Source organism: Homo sapiens, chromosome 1, assembly GCF_000001405.40.
Source record: "Homo sapiens chromosome 1, GRCh38.p14 Primary Assembly".
Lineage (NCBI taxonomy): Eukaryota > Metazoa > Chordata > Mammalia > Primates > Hominidae > Homo > Homo sapiens.
Genome location: NC_000001.11, coordinates 172254148 through 172278241, shown reverse-complemented (window position 1 = coordinate 172278241; position 24094 = coordinate 172254148). Strand labels below are relative to the sequence as shown.

The window sequence follows — 24094 nt, the reverse complement described above, 5'->3', positions numbered from 1 at the left end:
TACTTGAAATATTGACTTTGGGCAGAAAAAAAACCATAGCTATTTATACACCTAAGGAAAATAGACTGGCGCATTCTTCATAAGTGCTTTGTCATTTTGATTCTCTTGTACCTTGAACAGAATACAAAAAAAGTAGAATTATGGGTCAAACCAAGTGTTCACTTCAACTGTATTTATATAACAGAAAACATCAGGAAAGGCAGAGAGGTTTTCCTTGCAATGAATCTCTGAGCTGAGAGATGCTTTCAGAGATGCTTTCCTTTAGGAACAGACTAATTTTTTATGCAGTCATAATTTTATATAAATTGTTTGGGAAGTATCTGTACCACCTCTCAGGGCTAATGTAATCTATTAGGAATATAATTGACAGAACTTCAGTGCAGCCTATATTTTTTTATTCAAGGCTTCTTATTCTAGTAGTTTTCAATTTGGGGGAAAATCACAGTCACATAATTCAATGACATTAACACTTGAAAACACATCTCATCTTTTCATAATGAAGAATCCTAATGCTTTCGCTATTTTCATAAAAGATAATTCTCTTACCTCATCAATTATTTTAATTATTATTTACAGAATCTTTTCTGGTTATATTACACCTTTTTTTGCAATTGACTGGCAACTTTTTAATATATAATGTGTTAGGTTATAAAACACCATAATTTTGTACATCAGTAGTGTGTTTTCTATTCTTGATGATGTCTACTTGACCACATCAACACATTGCATAGATACTTTCAGAACTAGTCTACAGAGACTCCTACACTCACTGCCTTTGATCAGACTCCAAGAATCTATGACTACAGTTTGGACCATTTTCCTCTAAATTTACATGACACCTCAGGTTTTTCCACATTTCAATTAGTCTGCCATTTTCCTGCTCACTACTAAAACGCTGTGAAATCCTCTAAAGATTGTCTTTTCACTACCCAAGTGAGCCTGATCTGCAAAATATGAGTTTTTGCAAAGTATTTCTGATTACTTATACAAACGTTAAGGCTGGTTAGAGTCCTAGAAATCTAGAAAATTAGGATCATGAGAAATCTCATTTGTTATACTATATCATTAACAGAAATATCCATCTCTTTCCAATACACTACTAGAGTCATGAATGCAGAGGACAAGGACCATTTTTGTACCCATTAGCTCCTACCTCAGAGCCTAATACATAACAGATGCTCAATAAAGCACTTATAGGTTGAATAATTTCTACCCTTAATCTTTCTCAGAGACAGTTTTCTAGCCACATATTTTTTTAAAGAAAACATAATGAACTTTTTTTGAATTCCACCATGATTCAGATTTTTGTCAATGGCTATTTGAAAGCTTAAATATGTACTTATTCATTCATTATTGTCACAAATACTTAACTTTCCAAACAACTCATAGAGTTGTAAGGCATGCTTTCCTCTCAAAGGAACTATCTTGCCTTTTGTCTAACTTATAATTCTCATACTCTTTATTGTAATTGACATCAGCTTATCGAATATGGAAGTGAGGTTCCCCATTTAGGATTCTGGGGATACTCTAACTCATAAGAAGAATCTCAGAAGCAGGTTGAAGGTATCAATAATAAACAGTGGTATCACACTCAAGACTGGTTTATAATTAACAAGAACACTCACTCAATAAGGCCAGCTGGAACATAGTCCTATACACACACACACACACACACACACACACATTAAGATTTTTTTTCTGTGATTATTACAAGCTAATTTGTGTTACAGGATTTAAAAGAATTATAACACAATTTACACATAAATCTTCCTAAACATAATTTAAAATCTAATCCTTAATAATGCATTTCAAACTTCTTCCTGTTTAGAGAATATTAGCAAAATAAGTTATCGGAAAAAGTTATGAGGAAATGGTAGTGCAGAAAATAGTCAAGTGAGTATATACTATAGGGGTCACCTAAGCCAAATTCCCCCATCAGGCAGGACTCTCTTCTATGACATCATTCACAGGTAGGATTTACCATTTGTTTCTTTTTGCCCAGACAGTCCCAGTTTATTGCCAAGTGCTGTCCCACACTAATTATTAATACTGTCCCCTTTTACTCTCAAGAGTGATGATAAATTAGGACACCCTACCAATAAGTTGTTATCTAGCTTCTGCTAAAGTGCTCTGGAAATGGGGGGAGGCTTGCTAACTCACAAGTTGCCCATTCTATTTTTAAAAAGCTATACTAAAAATATATACTATATATGTAATACATAAAATCTTAAGAGTATTAAAAACCTCTTCCTGATGATATGCTGATATCTTTTTCTGAGCCACTTTTACACATTACTAATTCAGTCCTCTGGAAAGACAACGCAGAATGCGAGTCCTTCAGTTCCATAAGGCAACTTTCATGCCTTCCTTAATTTTTGACAAGTTAAACATAAAACACTTCAGTAAGGAAATACTCTTCAAGGAGAAATTTCAAGGCAATAAAAATTATCTTTTAATAATAGATGATGTTACGGAACTATATTTCAGATGTTTTCATGGGAGCCAGGTTCTCCAAAGGAGTAGCAGCACCTGACAGTGTGCTTTCTCAGAACTTCTGGCTTGAGTACACTATGTGTGTTTCCATGGGCTGGAAACAAATATTTGTTTTCCAAGAGTGTCAGACCAGTTGAGCCATGTGAAAGAAAAAATTAATAATCATCTCTGGTGGGGAGAGGCAACAGAAGTTAGCAGGTAAGGTGGTTTTGAAAAGAGCAAGAAGGTTGAAATGTCAACAACTGTATCTTTCTCAAGTTTTTTTTTCTTCATTTATGATTCAGGTATTTGAAAGAAGGCACTATAAAGAAGCAGACATGCAGCATGCCAAAAAATCCAAATATTTTCCAGATTGTAGAAGAAAATTAGATTATGTTGAAAATAATTAATGATAAAATAACTTTAGTGACAAATATTGAGCCTGCATGTTCTTGTTCTGTATGTTCTATCATCTGTATATTCACACAGATGATAGCCTCTGTGTTAGAGGTATAGTTAATGGAAATTTGATCTATCCAATAATTTAATAAGTATCTGGACCATGTGTTCTAATCTATGAGATATAAGTGATATACACTTTGAATGGTTCTACCTGATGAGCCCACACTACCATAACTAATTCTACTTGTGCATCTAGCAACAGCTACACAGATGGCAAGTCATAGTTGTCTAGGAATAATTAACCTTGACTAGACAGTGCATGTGGCAAATTCAACCTTACATTTGTGATGGCCAATAACAGAGCATTGCTTCAGGTCCCAGAACTGCTTGTTTACTAGTGTATAATGACAAAAATACAGAAACAAAGAGTAAGCAGTTGGAAGCCCTTGTAGCAATTTGACACTGCTATGACATCCAAGCCCTGATCAGTGGACTAGTCTGTCTTGTTCAAGTGTTTAGACCAGTTTGAGTGCTGCTGAACTCATAAGGTGAGTCTCATGCCATGCAAGTTGCAAACTGCTCAGGCGTGCAATAGGACCTTGCATTGATCTGCAAGTAATTGAAAATTAAAAAAAAAAAAAAAACCTTCACTAGAGAAGGTTTAAAAACCAGTGTTTCAGGGAAATTCTCGGTTTTAAATTTCTCACCATTTTGATCCAAGATGAAGGATATTAAGCAAATAACCCTTGGCATACATAGCATTTAGTAAAAAAAATCCAACAGCTCAATATTTCTTGGCTTTCATCACTTCTCAGATCTATCACAGTGGAGGGGAAGGAAGGAAAGGTATGCATGATATCTTTACCCCAGACTAGAAAAGTGGCTCTCTCATTTGAGACTGAAGCCCTGTTCCTTTCCCTCTGGGGCAGAATTAAAGAGCAAGGGATATGCTTATGTTGTTGGTGATAAGGCTGTCCTCTTTAGTCACTTCTTCATTTCCACACATCCTTCTCAAACATCAACACATTTCTAGCATCTTCATCCCCTTTCAATCCTGAGCTAGTTGATGATTTCTCTCCCTGACACCATCTGCCCTGCATCATCACTCAGCAAAGAGCAATGGTAGTTAAAGGGAGTAAACAAATGCTCTGGAAATTCCATCACTGTTTCGGTTTTTATATTGGGGTTGAGTAGGAGGGGACTGAGTGACATGGCTTTCGATGCTAAGATAAATCTATCAATTTAGCTGACATGAGTTTGACTTTTCAGAGGTATTCTGTCTTTACCATCTGCTTTACGACAGTGTGTAGGGGACTTGAAAAATCAAATTTGGCAATCAATGTAATATTGATTCTTCACAAGTAAGAGAAACATCCAACAGACTTACTTATGCAATAAGCACACCCCCCATTGCATGAAAATACAGCTTAAGCTGATGTGACACCACTGAATCATTATATCACGTATTGCATAACTGCCATTTCACAATAGTCCTCAAAGTATTATCTGGGGACTACTGGGGTACACAGGACTCTTTCAGGAGTCCCCAAGATCCTTTCAGATGTTTCTCCAGATCAAAACCATTGTCATAATACTAGTTTGCTTTTTTCACTTTCATTCTGTTATGAATATACAGAGAAGTTTATCAAAAAGGGACATGATGTGATGATGTTATTACCTGGCAATTAATGGAAAGTAAAGTTGTGTACTAGAAATTTGAAAGAGAGTATGTGCATTTTCTGAGATTAACTCATTTGTTCTCAGTGCTTCTACCACACCCTTAATAATTATTTTTGTTTATGCTTGCTATAATCTTTGTTAACCTCATTATCATCCAATACATTGTGATTTTGAAATCCTAAAGTTTCCCTTGGGCCTATGTACAGACACAACAAGAAGTAAGTATATCTTTTTGTCTTGTTTTGCAATGCTTTAATTTACAAAACTTGTAGTTTTAAAATTTTTATCTAAAATGTATTATTTTAGGATTTAGTAGTTCTAAAATAAAAGAAAATGTATTTTCCTTATGTTTAAGGATGGCTCATTGGCTTAAAAAAGGGAGATTTGAAGAGAAACTTTCTCAACCCTAGCTGCAACAGCTACATCTAAAGATATTGAAGAAGATAAGACTGACATGTCAGAGTTAGTGCTCTGACTCCTAGAAGGAAGGCATCTAATGCAAAGAAACAGGACAAAACTATAAATAACAAAAAATTAAAACTACAAATAAAGCTTTCTCTTATTTTTTAACATATGTATATAATTTACCTATTGTCTTTTGCAATTGAACACTTGAATAGCATTTTAATGCCACTTAAGTTACAGCCTCATTTTGAGATGAATCATTGAACATTTAAAGAAAAAAGAATAAAATATTTTAGACATAGGTATGTTCTTTGTAAGCCCAATATTGTTTGTTAGGGCTTTTCAAACTAGAAGTGAAAAAGTCCTTGAAGCATTTTATAGGATAAATCATTGTGCTGCATTAGCTGGAGAAGTGCACACTAGCTGAGAGTCTAAAAGCTTTTGTACAGTTGGCATTGCTGAATGTCTACTGGATAACAGAAGTCAAGAAAAAGAAATGACTATAATTTTAAAATGACAGAGTTAATTTGTCTAATTAAATATTTAGTTGCTGCCATGAAACATGAGTTTAGAACTCTAATCTGCAGAATTATACTTTTGCCCTAAAATGGACAAGTCTAAAGAATGACACTTGTTTTGATTCTATTTGTCTGGTATCAGTACTAACTAATCCTCAAAGATATTCATTTAAATGAATTCTTATCAATGAACACAAGTATTACTGAAATAGCCAAAGTGTAGAATCACTTTAATTTCATGGTTTATGGAGCAACAAATATATTAACATTGCACTGATGGTGCAAAGGCAAGGGTGGGTGCCCTAGCATAAACCAAGGCAACATCACAATGAGGTACTGACTGATGGTCATTGTAGCCTTCACTGCTATGTCATCACAGTTTTAAAAAAAGCAAGTTTCACTTAAGGATATCCTGATGAAGCAGTTAAAAATATTAATTCTATTATATCCAAAGATTAAATTTTAATTTAGATTCATATATTCTAGATAATAATTATGTATTAATTATAAGTGAATATTTTCTAGAGATTAAATTTTAATATTCCATGTCACAAAATAAGAAGTACACACAAGCACTTCTGCTGTATCCTGAAGTGCTTGTCTCAAGCAAAGCAGTTGTAAGGTGAAGCAGATGCTGTTTTTCATGGGATTCCGTTTTTACTTGAAAAACTGGCTAACAATCTATCGTTACTAAAACTTCAGTTTTTGGCAGATATTTTCTCAAAAATAAACAAAATAAGCCTGTCATTTAAAGGAAAACAACTGACACTATTTGTGGCCAATGATAAATTTTTGTGTTAGAGTTTTGGAAAACTCATATCTATCACCATGGGCGTCATTGACACCTTCCCTTTTTCTGATAAGATTGGTGGATATTAATGAATGTGATTTTTAAGCATTGTAGAATGAAATGTATAAACATTTGGAAGATCTGTGTAAATCAGTGAACCAATGTTTTCCAAATGACAAATGTATGATGTTACAAAATCATTCATAAGTAAAAGATCCATTTAAAGTGCATGATAGACCAATGAATCAGTGTAGCAGAATATAGAAAGCTCATTGATATGATTTCAGATCCCTCATTGCAATTAACTTTTAAGAAACAATTACTTGTCGAGTTTTGGTGGAATATCAAAGAAGAAGATCCACAATTTTAAAAGGCTATTAAAATACTCTTCCATTTTCTACACATCTGTGTGAGGCCAGGTTTTCATCATTGATTTCAACCAAAACAACATATTGTAACAGATTGAAAGCAGAAGCAGATATGGGTATCCAGCTGTCTTCTGTTAAACTACACATTAAGAAGATTTGCAAAACTGTAAAAAAAAGCCACTCTTTTCAATAATTTTTAAAGTAAAACATATAATTTATGTTAACATAAAATGGGTTTATTAGGGTTAGTTTTAAATAAATGAATATTTTTAAAACCTCATTTTTAATTTCTAACAATAAATATAATTGGTGGTGTGCTGATAAAAGCTTATCAACAGACTTTCTAGAAAAAGGAGAAGCTATGATTTTAGCATTTGCTAGTTTTCTGGTATAAATACTCTCACTATGGCCAGTTTCAAACAACAATGTGAAGTCAACCAACTCACAATATTCCTGATATAATCCACACACAGTCCACATAAACAAAAGCTCTTTGTGGTCTTCAACAATTTTTAAGAGTGAAAAGGAGTCCTCCTTAGTACAGTGATGATAGAGCAACTTATTTATTTTCTGAAGCAAAATCATTTTATAATATTAAAAAGAGTTTAGGCTAATATCTGGTAGTATAACACATATCACTCATACTCTTACCTATAAAAGATTTCAGTGAGGTGTGGATTTAACACACACTGAGAGCAAAGGCAGTTACTTGTTTGAATAGTCAAAACTACTCTCTGCAACTGCATTTTTTGAAACTGTTCCTTTATACCCACAGTACTTTTTTTTTTCAGATTCTAAGAAATAAACACAGGCAGTTTCAAAATTAGAAAAAGAAAGAAAGGAGAAAAACTCGCTACAGTTAGACGTTGCAAATATTTTCTTCATGAAACTATGCATCTGCTCAGAGTTAGCTGCAGAGTGTGACTAACATTTTCTACCAAGGCTTGTACCATGTCGGTTCCCTTTGCTGAGGCTGTGTGTTAATTAAAATTAATTACACATGCCAGTAAATAGTTTCCCTTTGAATGCAGCAAGTTGAAGCAGAATAATATAATTTATGTGTAAGGAATATAATTCAAACCTTCACAGTATTTTTTTTCAGCAGGTATAGGTACTAAAGACATTCTTTATGGGTAAGTTGGTGTCACCATAAGTCAACTAAAGAAAACTGAAAATATATTAGACATGCAATGTTAAGTCACACAAAGATTCTTATTTGTAAATTGTTATTTTTAAAAGACAGGTTTATTATTAATATCTTGAGTGCATGATTGAAGTAGCTCAATTATCTTCATTTAGCATTATAGTTACAAGTGCTGTTTGGCTTAAAGGCTTTTTTTTTTTTTTCAAATTCAAGAACTCCTAGGCAAGGTGTTATTACTTTAGTAATGTCAGGATAGTATATGGTAACACTGCTAATAATAGAAAACACTTATGGCTGCCAGAGATGCCATTATTCAACTCTAACTGAATTGAAACAGCAATAGACTTGAAGAATAATCCTCTTTGGACTTTTTATGTTTATTCTACTATTTGACGTAAGTTTTTTTCTTACTATATTCTACATGTTATTGCTAAAAACCTGATTATTCCAATAGTCAATAAAACATGCCCTTAGTTTCCTTTATTTTTGTTCTTGGGAGGCCTCTAAGACGGCCAAAGAGATATTGGTATTTAAACATTTCCTTCAGGCTGGGCCCAGCTAGGGATATTTTCGCAATCCTGCTTATTCATTTCTGAAGAGCTCTGCTCCCTAGGTTGCTGACTGAAATACCTGAACACTTGCTGTCTCACTACTGGCTTCAGCCTGGGGGCCCCACGCTATCACAAATTCACAAAATCACCACCACACTGGCTAAAAGGAAGCTGCAGCACACAACTCACTTTAATTCCATCCTTAACATAAGTAACCAAAATATAAACTTATTCTTTGAAATAAAAGCCTGAAACAAGACAGATAATATCTTGAATCCAGTTCTTCAGAGTGACTAATAGCTTTCAAAAAGAAAAGCTAGTTTTTTTAACAAAGCCTAGCAATCATTTGTATCAATCTCTTTTAAGGTAGAATAGTGATCTATCAGTTCTCTTACAGCTTACCACTACAGTGTCTCATTTAAAGCATGTCTCTTAGAATTGATCATATTTTTTCTGTAGCATGTTTACAACTAGCGATTGGGTCCCCTATCATTAATGAATAGCAGCTGGGGTTGTTCTATGGTTTCCAAATGGAGGCACACTTCTGTCCCAAGCTGCAGTGTTTGTCTGACGAGGGTAGTGGGGAAAGCAAATACTTGTTCCGGAAAATAGGTGGAGAGAGGGCAATGTGTTTGCTCTGAAATCCTAGAAGAAAAGTAAACTTGCTGTGAAGGACATAATTTCTTTTTGTTCTTGAACTTTACATAGCCGTGTTGGGCTCATTCATCAACACAGTCTTTGGACAGAAACCTGAACATGAATGCCTCAAACACTTTGACCAAAATCCTTGCTGGCACTACTAATGGCTTCGGTTACAACTCCAGTTTAAATCCTTGGGAAGAGAGAAACTGAATCCTTGGGAAGAAAGCAACTGAAGTTGCTGATTCTATCCTATCAATCTATTTGTTTGAAATACGCAAAGGCTCCTGAAAAGTACGATGCCTGATTCCCCTAGAAAAATGAATCTAGACTTCACACAGGTGTTTTAAGCATGAAGAATTCCTCCAAAATCTTTTAATGACATTTAAAAACGTTGAAAAGCACTAACTTGCTATTTTTCTCCCTCAAAAAAGGCAGAAACAATCATCCAAGTAGGACGTCATACTCCTATTTCATTTCAGAGTTTCATTTGAAAAACAATAAAGAATTTAAATTGCTTGCTTTAAGTCACAGGCATTTCATACTCAAGAAATTATGTTGTCTTTCATGAGAATATATCTTAGCTGTGAATTCAATTGTCACAGACTTAGTTCATAAAAATATTACCAAATTATATTTGATTTCTGTCTGGGTGTGGTTGGTGAATCAAATAAACCAAATGGGCCGAGAATTTTGGTTCTCCAATCCATCCCTCTCCAGGCTCCCTTTAAAAATATTTTCCCCCTCCTCTCTGGTGTACCTAGGATTTCCTAATGATGCTATTTCACAACTAGAGGGACACTCTTAAAGGAAAAAGATGCAGTATTGAGAATTGGGAAACTTGTAACAAGCAGGATCAGAACCATATGACAACAAATATCTTTGCAATGAGGGACTAGAACAAAGGAAAAGAACAAACGCAAAAACAGAGATCTCTGTTTCCAAGATTTGGACTTGGAATCAACTTTCAAAATATACAATTTTTTTTTTTTTTTTTTACTGACTTGCTGAACACGTATTCCTATCCAGCCCCTTAACAGGGAAAGCACAGGGTTTATCTTTCCAGATTTATAATGACAAATAAACATTACCCTCATCTTGTGCAGTCACAATCAATAACTGTAAGAGTCCTCAAGTCTCTGTCTGAGCCCTGTGAACTTAATAGTTCTAGCAGAAAAAAGAAGTGAAAACTTATGAACAGAGAATTGAAATTGTCTTCTGGCTCTCCTCCTGCTTAACTTTTAAAACTAATAGAAAACCTGGCCAGGTGCCGTGGCTCATACCTGTAATCCCAGCACTTTGGGAGACCAAGGTGGGTGAATCACGAGGTCAGGAGATCGAGACCATCCTGGCTAACGTGGTGAAACCCCGTCTCTACTAAAAATACAAAAAATTAGCTGGGCTTGGTGGCGGGTGCCTGTAGTCCCAGCTACTTGGGAGGCTGAGGCAGGAGAATGGTGTGAACCCGGGAGGCGGAGCTTGCAGTGAGCAGAGATCTTGCCACTGCACTCCAGCCTGGGTGACAGAGTGAGACTCCATCTCTAAAAATAAAAAAAAAAGAAAACCTGAAATTTGTCAATACTTTGCTAGAACCAAGAAATAAAGATTTAGAATGCTTAGTGTAGCTATCTACAAAGCATTTTTGAATAATAAACGTTAAGATTATGAGAATGATGTTAAGACAATTTACAATAAAACATCTATGCTTTTTTTTTTCTTAAAGGACAATGTCATAGAATTCTATTTAGTTCAAACAGCACTCATTTATACAGTCTGTATATTACCGAGGTTATTACTTTCTAAATGAAATATTTCCTTTTGTCCTCAAACTATTTCCTCTGAGAGTCTGAATCTGTATTTCCATTTTCATCCCACTTGCATTTGAAGTTCTAGGCTTCTAGAGCTTACTTACTTTAAGAATGCCTTATATTAGCAATTGGCATTATTTCTATCTTCTCCATATAACAGAGGGGGAAAGTTTTGCATCCATGCATTCATTCCCTCATGCTATTGAGCTCACAAAAATGCCAGGCACTGTGTTAGGCCCTGGGGATACAGCAATGAATAAGAAAAACAGCCTCTCCCTCATGGAAAGCAGTCTCACAGTAGAGAAGTTATAGAATTGTTACATTTTAATTATTTAACTTATCATTGTGTTAAAACCAGAAGGAAGAATAAGGTATTAAAATGTTCACTTAACACACTCCATTTCTTAAACTCATTGTTCAGGTGATCCCCCTAGTAACACTACTCATGCCTGAGTGCCACCAGTTCACTTGTGTTTGCCTCTGGACAACAATATATCAGGTGTCAATTGGTCTCATATCTAGTGGGATTTTTTTTCTGACTAAGGATAAAGCATGGGGAAAACCAAATTTTTATATCACACGTAAAGTTACAGAAACAGTACAATGAACTCTAGGTCAATTGAGAATGATAAAGTGTTTCTACTCTCAAACTGATTTATTTTTTCCCTCCACCAGATACTCATAGAGGGTATTACACACACCTCTACTGGAAAGATGACCCACCTACACTCCAAGGGGGGTGTGGGTGGATAGGATAACATACATTTCATTTCTCTACTTGGGTTGGGACTGATTACTGACTGAATCATCTGACAAATAAAAACCTTCCTGAATCAGGGTATTTAGAAGACAAGCAATTCTCACTTAGCATTTTGTGAGGCAAGAAGTAATGTCTTAAACATTGTTTTGACAAAAGTGGGATAAAAATGAAATAAAATAATTTATCCTGGTGTCTTGTTTATGTTGCATAAACAAGCTTAATTGAATTGTGTTCCTTACACAGTATTTCATTCCCGAGTCCAGAATATTACATGCTTTTTACCTTACTGAAATTCTGATACATATGAGTCTCTGCCATCCCTATTTATGGAAGAGTAATTGTTCCTTTTTTAATGTAGATCCGACACTCAACCATATCCAATTGAGACATGATCTTTTAGACAAAGCATTGTATACCACCCAGAATATTCATTTAAACACTTTTTCAAACAAATTTAAACTCTGAGCATGTCTTAGTATAGAAATGTAGCCATAGAGGTATATAAATGAACAACCTGACTCTAATTTCTTTCCAGCTAACAAGTGGAAAAATATACCACTACTCAACAATGCAAATAAAGAGTCATTCTTTCAGAATGCCTAAAGAGCACACACTAACTATATTGCGGCATTATTTGACATTTATTGAGTGTCAGCAATATGCTGGGAACTAAGTGGAGTAGTGAAACATCCTAAAATCACTTTCTATAGGAAAAGGGGGAGGAGGTGAATTGGAACACTTGGTAATATTGATAAACCATATCCTGAATTGAAGCTACAAAGTAGAAAGAATGCCTTATTTTAAAAGAAAACAAGGCTCTACAACCCCAAGGAGTGCTCAGAAAATACCATGTGGCTGCCCTACAACCCCCTGGACAGAAACAGTTCTCTGTTGGCTACCAAAGCTGACATACCTTGAACCAAATGGGCCTTAGCATGACCTTAAAACTGAACGCCTGCCTGGGGAGAGCCGAGAGAAGCACAGTGAGGCCATTATCTAGACATACTTCTATCAGAGAAAACATGGCATTTCTAACAAAATCAAATAGAACAAAAACCTGGAGGAGCATTTGAATCCTTAGTTTAGACCATGCCACAGTGAACTTTAGGAGTCTGTTAACTAAAATTTAACTTTCAGTTTATAATTAGGTGAAGCAATTAATGTGAGAACAGAGTATCACAATGTTAGTCTCCCCAGATATCTATGATGCCATCTTTAAAAGAGCCAGAGGAAGGCTCAGGAATGGGTATTCTTACCGGGAGTTTATGTAGGCTAAACCAGTCTGAGTGTGAAATTCGCTCTCCTCAAGTGCTGAAGTCACTGCAACTAGCAACAAATCCTTTCATTTATAAATCTTAGCACTGAAACACTGTTTAAAATGGCTCAAAAATCTGGTCACCTGGCTTGTAAAGATTATATTAATTCACCAGGACACCGAAGCCTTTTTTTTTTTAAAGGATGTTAAATGTATTAATTCCCACACACCTGATGATGGGGGACTACAGAGTAACTCTTTTAAAGTTTATATAGTGGAAAGCTGAAATAGCAACTGAATGAGCTCTTAGGAATAATGTTGCCATACAAATAGCCATGACTAAAAGTTTGTCAGGAACTGTAGCAGGAGCAATGGTCAGTTCCATGCAGGGCTTTAAAAAATGAGACTAAAAGCATTCCATGGAAATTTGTATGATCTTACAGTAAACTGAAATCCCTACACAATAAGTTAAAAATCTCTTCATTGCTGATCTTTTAGGAGCAATTCCAGTTAAAGTCTTAGGCAGAATTCCTATTCCATAGTTAATCTCTAAACTACAGTATCAGAAACAGCCTTGAGTTAGGAGATATTAGACCTGGGTTGTAGTTCTGGTTCTCTCATTAACTGTTTTTGTGACATTAGGAAGGCATTTAACTGTTATAGATATAGCTCCTTAACCTGTGAGGTAAGAAAGACCGACGAGATTATCTATAAGGTTCTGGAAACCCCCGGAAAGCCATGATATTTTAAACTTGCATTGGTGTTCAAACAGAAACTCTTAGCTCCAAGTCAATGCATCTCATATAGGTCTGCTGAATGGATAAACAAATTGATCCAAAACACTGATGTGGAGGACAGGGATAAAAATTACAAAGTAATGGAGGCATTTAGAAAATCTATTCTAAATTAATCAAGCGTAACCTCATCTAAAGGCAAGGAATGAGAACACTTATTTTCTTATAAGGTCTTGTCTCAGAAGAGAAAACAAATTAGGAACATAACCTCAGAATCAATATAAGTGGTGAAAAGAATGTAATTTAAGAATAGTTGATAGAATCATGCTAAGCATATGGGCTTTTGAAAGATGCATGATTTTACCACAACACAGAGGATTAAAATACATAAACTGACATGGGTAAGTCCAGTTCAATAAATTCTATGGAAACAAAAAGGAATGTTTTTATTTTTGTCACTAGGGCTCATCTTGCCTTTGAAATTAGCTTCTTCTCATCAGAAGAGACTAGCAACAGATTAAATAACATTTCTTGCTATTGGCTTTGACTAATACTATTTCCCATTTGAAGTAGTCTTTTCTATGTCCTCTACATCAATTCATGCCATGACCTAATGAAAGTCACCTTCTATGATGCTAACTCTTTTGCTGTGGCTAAATACTATGCTGTCTGCTATTCTGACACTTCAGAACTGCAGTGGAATACCCTATCCTGTAATCTAGTTAGATGTTACCTTACACACTATAACTCATTAATTTCATGTATAATAATCTCACAACTAAACTTCATTTTCTTCTTTTCTAACATAGTCCTTCTGTTTTAAGTTCAATGAAAAATAAATGTATGACACTCACACTAGTGATTGCAAATGTTCTCAAAACAAGAAAACATCTTATATTTTAATTGGAGTATGATATGGTTTGGCTGTGTCCCCACCCAAATCTCATCTTGAATTGTAGCTCCCATAAATCCCACATGTCATGGGAGGGACCTAGTGGGAGGTAATTTAATCATGGAGGCTGATTTTTCCCATGCTGTTCTCATGATAGTGAATAAGTCTCACAAGATCTGATGATTTTATAAAGGGAAGTTCCCCTGCACATACTCTCTTGCCTGCCACCATGTAAGATGTGTCTTTTGCCTTCTGCCATGATTGTGAGGCCTCCCCAGCCATGTGGAACTATGAGTCCATGAAATCTCTTTTTCTTTATAAATTATCCAGTCTCAGATATGTCTTTATTAGCAGCATGAGAACAGAATAATACACAGTACCAATACTGACATTCAGGATAGATAATACATTTCATTGATACTTTGGAATGCATAACAGAATAAATTGGAATTTCATTCCAATTGATACTTTGGAACGGATACTTTGGAATGGATAACAGATACTTTGTTACTTTGATACTTTGGAATGGATAACAGAATAAATACTTGTTGAGAGAATAAATTATTGCTATTTCTCTCTAATCAGTTTGTAAAACTTTCATGTGTGTATACACACTGAATCAAAGGTTGACCTTCTAAGTTCACTATTATCACAGTCCTCACCCCTAGAAGAAATCAGGAACATAGTTTTTTGTTTCTACAATCTATTGATAATGAAAGGCCACTTCATTTCAGCCAAAACTGCAGGAAGAGAATAAAAACTATTTCCTATAAGACATATGAAAAACATTATTTTACATGCCAAAGCTCCAAAATAAAAGAATTATCAATTGCCTCCTCCCCGCAAAAGAGGAAATACATCTTTTCTAACTTTTGCCACTGGATGGCATCAGTTTCAGTAACCAAAAGGTTTTGATTTTAATGTCCACAAAATATAATAATAATAAGATCTTGGGTGAATCCAGGAACCTCCAAAGGTCACATCCTCAGAGAAAAGACAGACTAAAAAAAGTCTATCCACTAGCAAAGAAAAATGACACGCAAGTATATCATGGCCTGTTCAAATACAAAGAGGGGGCTTCAAGATGGCTGCCTAGATCAATCTGGTATTTGCCTCTTCCATGGAAAAGAACCAAAATAATGAGTGGATAATCATACTTTGAGTAGATAATCTAAGAGAGAACACTGGAATTCAACAGAGAAGTGACAGGAAGCACCAAAAGCAAGAAAGGAGAGGGAAACAGTTCAGCTGGATCAGCTGAGGGTCTGGAGTGGCTCCTTAATGTGGGGAAAGTGTGAATGAGAGACCCCCAGTAGACCATGTTTCTGCTGGAGATTCCTACAGTCCTAGCCATGAGAGAACACCTCAATCCTTACAAGTTCTGAGACTAACATAGAGAGCTGTCTGGAGACCACATGAAGGCACTGCTGCATACGCCATTTTGAGAGCACAGCCCCCACCCCACCAAGCTGCATTCTACTCCATTGCCAGGGCTAAGGCAGGAGCCACAGACAGTGATCCCATGCCCATCATACCTACCTGTGGCCCTCTGCAGAGGGGTAACTACACCTTTTCATATGCCCCCAAGGACAAATGCCACTGCCCACAACCACCACTGCTTTAAGCTGCTGCGGAGCCAAGACACAAATGAAGCCCATGTTCCCAGCCCCCAGCTTATGGCTCCACCCAGGGAAAGCAACCATAGGCTTCCCAGTAGAAGGGCTACAGATAGCCATTTCTGCTCTCACCTAAGCATTTTTCCAGTGGTCTGGGGATCACCCTACTTCTGCCTACCATAGCCAGTACCACTGAGGGGTCTGAGAGCAAGTCCACCTGGCTCAGCTCCACTCCTTCCCCCTTTACCTGAGCATACCATCCAGGGACACGGGCATCACTTATACACACCTTCCAGGGGCCTGAGCATCACCTGCATGTACTTTCCAGGGGCCTGAAGATCATCCAGGCCAGTTGACCACCTGTGGCACCTAAGCACTTCTCCCAGGGTCTGAGACCAGCCATATTCAACTTGCACTACCACCACAGCTGGCACCCAACCATACACACCACCTGAAAGTCTGTGGGCCAGCCCACCCAACCTCTTGCAGCCACTGCTACCACAGGGGTGGACCACTTGGGTCCCAGATGGATGTTCCACCATTGCTACTGCCATTGCCCATGCCACATCCACTGCCCAGGGGCTTAAGAACCTGTTCACTTGCCAGACCCACTGATGCCATTAGCAGCATCTGAGAAAGCAACCTGGAGGCACAAGAATTGGCCTTCCTGGACCCACCAACACCAGCACCAGTGCACACTGGCCTGGGGCCTAAAGACTAGCCCACCTAGTGTTATAGTACTCAGCAAAACTTTTTCATAGCCTCTACTAATAACAACTGCATTCTAAGCCACCAAGGTAGTCTCAGACACCACTGATGCTGTCTACAAATGAAGAAGTCATACAGAGACTACACCACTACGCATAGTCAGATTCAAAAGCAAAGTACCCTACCCAACCAATACCATAGATACATGTCAGAAAAGAGTTCTCCTTTTCAAAAGCAATTTCAAACAAATTAGAAGAAGCAACAGTTATACCAGATGTGTAGATATCAACATAAGAACACAGGAAAGATGAAAAAGCAAGAATATTTGACACCTTGAAAGGAACACAATAATTATCCAGCAACAGATCCCAATAAAAAGAAATTTACTAGTCAGACATAGTGGCATGTGCCTATAGTCCTAACTACACAGGAGGCTGAGTTGGGAGAATCACTTAAGCCCAGTGGTAGAGGCTGCTATGATCAAATCACTGCACGCCAGCATGGGTGACAGAGTGAAGCCCTGTCTCAAAAGAAGGAAGGAAGGAAGGAGAGGAAGGAAGAAAGGGAGGGAGGGGAAATTCATTAAATCCTAGGGAAAAATTAAAAATACTATCACTAAAGAAGCTCAGAGAGACACAAGAAGGGGCATCATGGAAATGTTGCATATCTTGTGTTAATGGCTGAACAACTGTACATATCTGTAAAACTCATTAAAGTATATATTTAAAATGGGTGAAAAAAAGAAGATTCTGAAAAACAATACAAAGAAATCAGAAAAACAATTCAGGATATGAATGAGAAATTTATCAAAGAGATATAATTTTTTAAAAAGCAGAAATTTTGGAACTGACGAATTCATTGAATAATATACAAAATACATTCAAAACCTTCAACAGTAAGACAGAACAAGCAGGAGAAAGAATCTCAGAACTTGAATACAGATCTTTTGAAATAACCCAGTCACACAAAAATAAAAACAACAACAACAAAAAGATTAAAACCTTCAAGACATATGGGACATCATAAAGCATCCAAATATTCAAATTTTGGTGTCCCAAGAAACAACGAAAAAAAATGAAAGAATTAGAAAACCTATTTAATAAAATAATAGGTTAAAAACTTCAAAACTTAGCAAAATATTTAGACATTCCTATATAGTCAAAGATCCCCAAATAAATACAATTTGAAAAGGTCTTCTTCATGGCATATTATAGCCAAACTCAAAAATCAAAGACAAAGAGAAAAAAAATTAAAAACAGCAAGAGAAAAGTATCTAGCCACCTATATAAAGGAACCCCATCAGACTAACAGCAGATTTCTCAGCAGAACCCTAACAAGACAGGAGAGAATGGGATGATATCTTCACAGTGCCAAAAGAAAAAATGTGCTAGCCAAAAATATTATGCCCAGCAAAATTATCCTTCCTAAATGAAAGAGATATAATGTCTTTCACAGATGAGCAAAAGCTAAGAGATACAGCACCACTAGACCACCCCTATAAGAAATACTTAAGGGAGACCTACACCCAAAAGCAAAAGAATAATAACTACCATTATGAAAACACATGCAAATATAAAAACCACTAGTGGAGCAAACACAGAAACAAGGAAGGGAAAATTCTTAAATGTAACCACTACAGAATGCCAACAAACCACAAAGATAAATTATGAGAGAAAAAGAAAGGAAAAAAGGATATAAAAAACAATAAGGAATCAAGTAATAAAATGATAAGAAGCCCTCACATGTCAGTAATAACCTTGAAGGTAAACAGATTAAACTTTGCACTTAAAAAATATAGACTGGCTGAATGAATTTTTGAAAATGATCTAACTATATGCTGCTTACAAGAAATTCTCACCTATAAAGACATATATAAACTGAAAATAAAGGAATGGAAAAAGATGTTCCATGTAAATGGTGCTCAAAAGTGAGTAGGAGTAGCTATACTTACAACAGATAAAACAGACTTTAAGTAATAAAAAGTGACAAAATTATTATATAATGAAAGAGGTGTCAGTTCATCAAGAGGATATAATGATTGTAATGATTGTATCCTCATGTGTGCTCCCAACACCAGAGCACCCAGATATATAAAGCAAATATTATTAGACCTGAAGGGAAAGACTCTAATACAGGAATAGTTGGGACTTCTACACTCCACTCTAAGCATAAGACAGATCATCTAGACTGAAAATTAACGAAGAAACATTGGATTTAAACTGCATATTAGACCAAATAGACCTAACAGACATTTACAAAACATTTCATCCAACAGCTAAAGAATAAACATTATTCTTAATCAGCACACAGAACATGTCTAGGGTAGACCATATAGTAGGACACAAAACAAATCTCAAAAAATTTTTAAAAATCAAAATCATATCAAGTATCTTTTCAGACAACAATAGAATAAAAACAGAAATCAATAACAAGAGATATTTTGGAAACAGTACAAATACATGGAAAGTGAAAAATATGCTCCTGAATCACAATTGAGTCAAGAGAAAAATTAAGGAGAAAATTTAAAAATTTCTTGAAAAAAACAGAAATCAAAACACAATGTACCAAAACCTATGAAATAAAGTGAAAACAGTGCTGATAAAGGTTTATAGCAATAATTGCCTACATCAAAAGAAATAGAAAGATTTTAAATAAACAATACAATGATGGATCTCAAGGAACTAGAGATGTAAGAACAAACAAAACCCAGAATTAATAGAAGGAAATAAATAATAAAGATAAGAGTGGAACTAAATGAAATGGAGATGAAAAAGACAATACAAAAGATCACCAAATGAAAAGTTGCATTTTTAAAAAGATAAATAAAATCAATAAGACAATCGTAAGACTAATCAGGAAGACAGAAGACTTAAACAAAATCAGAAATAAAAAAGATATTACAACTAATACAGAAATACAAAACATCAGAGCTTATTATGAAAAACTATGCACTAACAAACTAGAAAACCTAGAAGAAATGGATACATTCCTGGACAATACAACCTACGAAGATTGAATCAGAAAGAAATAAAAAACCTGAACCAACCAATAATGAGTAATGAGATTTAATCTGTTGATGGCGGTGAGGATGTGGAGAAAAGGGAACATACACTCTTGGTGGGAATGTAAATCAGCACAGCTATTATGGAAAACAGTATGGCAATTTCTAAAAATACTAAAACTAGAACTACTTCGTTACTGGGTATTCAGTCAAAGAAAAGGAAATCAGTATATCAAAGAGACACACGCGCTCCCATGTTTATTGTAGTACTATTTACAATAGCAAAGATATGGAATCAACCTAAATGTTCTAAATGGATGAATAGATAAAGAAAAGGTGGTATATTTACACAGTGGAATACTATCTGCCATAAAAAAAGAATAAAATCATGTCATTTGCAGCAACATGGATAGAACTGGAAATCACTATGTTAAGTCAAGTAAGCCAAACACAGGAAGACAAATATTGCATGTACTTGCTCATAAATAGGAGTTTAAAAAGTTTATCTCACGGAGGTAGTTAGTAGAATGATATATACCAGACGGTGGAAATAATGTTTGTGTGTGTGTGTTTGTGTGTGTGTCTGTTTGTCTGTGTGTGTGTGTGTGTGTGTGTGTGTGTTGGTGGGGGTTGGGGAGAGAGGATGAAGAAAGGTTGGCTAATGGGTACAAACATACAGTTAGATAGAAGGAATAAATTCTAATGTTCAATACTAGAGTATGGTGACTATAGTTAGCAACAATATATTGTATATTTCAAAATAGCTAGAAGTGAGGACTTGGAATGTTCTCAACACATAAATGATATACACTTGTGATGATGAATATCCTAAATACTCTGATTTGATAATTACATATGCTATGCGTGTAATAGAATATCACATGTACTCCATAAATACGTATAAATATTATGTATCAATAAAAAATATTAACCAAAAAGTTAGTGTAGCTATACTAACATAAGACAAAATAAATTTTAAGGCAAAGTGCATTATTAGGAATGAAGAGGGCTGTCACAAAATTATTTTTTAAGTCACCAGGAAAATACAATACTAAATTTGTATGAATCTAATAACATAGATTGGCCTCAAGCAAAAATTGGCAGGCTTATTCAAGCTCACAATCACAAAGCGACCTTTTTAATGCTCATGTGATAAAATAAGATTCTTTGTGAGTTTTTATTTGTCTCCCCGCCTGTTCCCCTTTCTAGATAGTATCTAAAATGTTTAATTGTCTTTGTCTATTTGATTCACAGGTGTATTTTAAGCATAGAACAGTATCTGGCACATAACAGCTGCCTAATATATACTTGCTGAATGTTGGAATTATTTGAGATGAAGAAAAGATAATGACTATAGACATTGCAAAATACAATTAACAAGCATAATCCAATCAGCTCTCATGGAACCTACACTTCCAAGCTAGTAAATGTACATTCTTCTCACGTATATGTGAAATATTTATTAACATCATGTACTAGACCATATTATTTGGTCACAATACAATTAAGTTAGAAATCAATGATACAAAACAATAAGATTCCCTGCATTCTAAAATGTAAAACACACTTTTAAATAGCTCAAAAAAAAAAAAACATGATGAAGAATAGGAAACAGAACTGAATGGTAATAAAATTGTTAAATTTCAAAAATTGTAGTAAGCAGCTAAACACTACCTGGCGAGAAATCTATAGATTTATATGCAGATATATAAGAAAAGGAAAGGATAAAAATTAATGAGCTACACATCTAAATTAAGAAGTTTGAAAAGACCTAAAATGTAAACACAAGAAAATACAAGGAAGGAAATAATTAAGAGAACAGAAATTATTGGAATAGAAAAAATATACACAATAGATGTTCAAAAGTGCCACAAACTGGTTCTCTGAAAAGACACAAAACTCTAGCAAGAGTGATCATAAAAAAAGATAAGGATTAATATTAGAAATAAAAATCAGTCAAATTTCAGATACAACAGAGACTTAGAAAAATAAAATATTAAGAAATAGTTGGTGCAATATATTTAAAGCAAAACAGAATGGACAATGTTCTAGAAAAAATACAATTATTCAAATGGATCCATGGAACAAACAGAAAACCTAAATAAATCTGAAATCATTAAATATATTCAATCACTAGTTAAAAGCCTACTTACCAAAAATACTTCCTAGGGCCAGATGATTTTACAGGTTACTTCCACCAAACAGTCAGCTAATAGTTAATCCCTACCTTTTATGAAGGGTTCCAAAGAACAATAAGGACTTATTCTCACCTCAATTTATGAAGCTAACAGAACCTTGATATTAAAACCAGGCAGAAATAATATAAAAAGGAAATTTATGGGCCAATCTAACTCATTTTAGCATTTGCTAAAATACTAGCAAACTTAAACCAAGAACTCATAATAAAGAATAGCACATTGTGACCTAACTAAATTTAATCCCAGGAGACAAAGGATGGTTTAACATCAGAAGGTCTATTAGTATATTTCACCACATGAACAGATTAAAGAAGAAGAATCATACAATCTTCCAGGTGGAGAGGTTGATAAAATTCAACTCCTAAGCATGATTTAAAAATGAAAACAGAAACCTTAGTAACTAGAAACACAAGAAATCTTCACCTGATATCAGACATCTATCAAAAGGTATTTCACTATACAATTTTTAAAATCATCCTTAAATTAGCCTTAAAATGAGAAATAAGACAAGGATTCCAGCTTGTGGTCAACATTGCACTGGAGGTCCTTGCCAGCACAAAAATGATTTAAAGGAATCAGCATTTCAAAGGAGAAGACAATGGCCAATGTGGGTACATCTATATACTCACTGAGGTCACTGAGAAGTGGCAGCAGAATTCAATACCTTTTTAGAACTCCAAGATCCCAAAATATCTAGATTTTTCAAAGTCCACAGTTTCCTTATTTCGGTGACTTTTGCTGTCTTTAAAATCCACAGTTGTATTTTATGAAAAATGATAGTCTACCATAGCCTTGTTTTTACCTTACACCCAGCTTTTTTATAACCTGAACTTTTCAGGTTGACCATGGATTCAATTTTGTTTGACTTCCTGTTTGGCAGTCACCTGTTCCACTCTGCATCTAGGCAAGAAGGCTGAGCACACCTCTGATGATTGCTTTAGAATCTCCTGAGTCTCTGCTGCTCTGATGAAGGCATGTAAACTAGTACTGAGCTTGGCTGCAGTGTGGCAGACTCACTACTATTCTCTCTAGAAAACCTTTTTATTCTTTATTATTTTCAGTGTGTTTTCATAAGCTGCTCTCAAATAATACTGTCTTCAAAAATCCCATTTGAATATTTGGTAGGGGAGTTAGTTGTACTTAATTTTCTTTCCTGTCGATTCTTTAAATGGCTTGCTTTGTGGTTTTACTAAGTATTTTTGTATTATGAGTCACTCTGAGCAACTGACTGGGAATGTAGGAAGACGTCTTCTTTTGCTATTTTAATTTACTGTGTGATTGACCCTGGGCCAGTCATTGAACCTAATCAAGTAACTTCATTCATTGCTAAATAAAGATAAAAGGCAGCCTCAAAAAATGGGTTAAAATTAGATTCTGTTACCTAATGACTTACTGTGTTAATAACTGACTCACACAAATTTTAATTAGCTTTTTCCTATAACATTTTCATTTGGAAAAACTCTCCTTTATTATCCTTTCCTAGTTGTACCCCTTTTATACTTCTCTAGTCCATCCTCTCTTACCTCTCCATTTGCTTATTTAACTTTACTGCTAAGTTTCAGTGAAGATCATGGCACTCTGTGATGGTCAGCTCAAAATACAGTTTTGATACTGCACATGAACAGCAGAACAAAATAAGCACACAATGGAAAATGAGTGGAAGGAAAAGTGTACTTAGAGGAAGTCCTAATACAAGTTCCAGCTCCCCCATGCACCAGTTTTATGACCTTAAGAAAGTGAGTTAGCATCCCTGAGCCTACGCTTTCTTATTTGTAACTGTATCCTTTTGATCTCAAAGGCAATTGTTACAAAAACCAATGACAATGAATGTAGAGAGCACTTTGAAAAACTGTAAAATACTATACATTTTTATTTGCCATAACTGAATAATTCTATTCCCTGAATTTAGTCATAGTATATGAAATTTGTCCGCTCTTCAAGAAGAGCTTAAGTGATATCCATTCATGTTAGACAGATACTTTAAAAATTATCATAGAGTAGTTTGTAAGTATGTAAACAATATATTGGGACAAGAAAGACTTTAAGGTAACAAAATGTAGCTTTAAGAACAGACAGACTGGGTGCAGTGGCTCATGCCTGTAATCCCAGCACTTTGGGAGGCCAAGGCAGGAGAATCTCTTGCACCCAGGTAG

At 35.2% G+C, this 24094-nt stretch overlaps 1 protein-coding gene across 19 annotated transcripts in view; it reads right to left on the bottom strand.

The window, feature by feature from the left end:
• Window positions 1–24094, bottom strand: part of DNM3 (dynamin 3) — a 576969-nt gene that overhangs the window by 140225 nt on the left and 412650 nt on the right. The gene's annotated exons all lie outside the window — the stretch shown is intronic.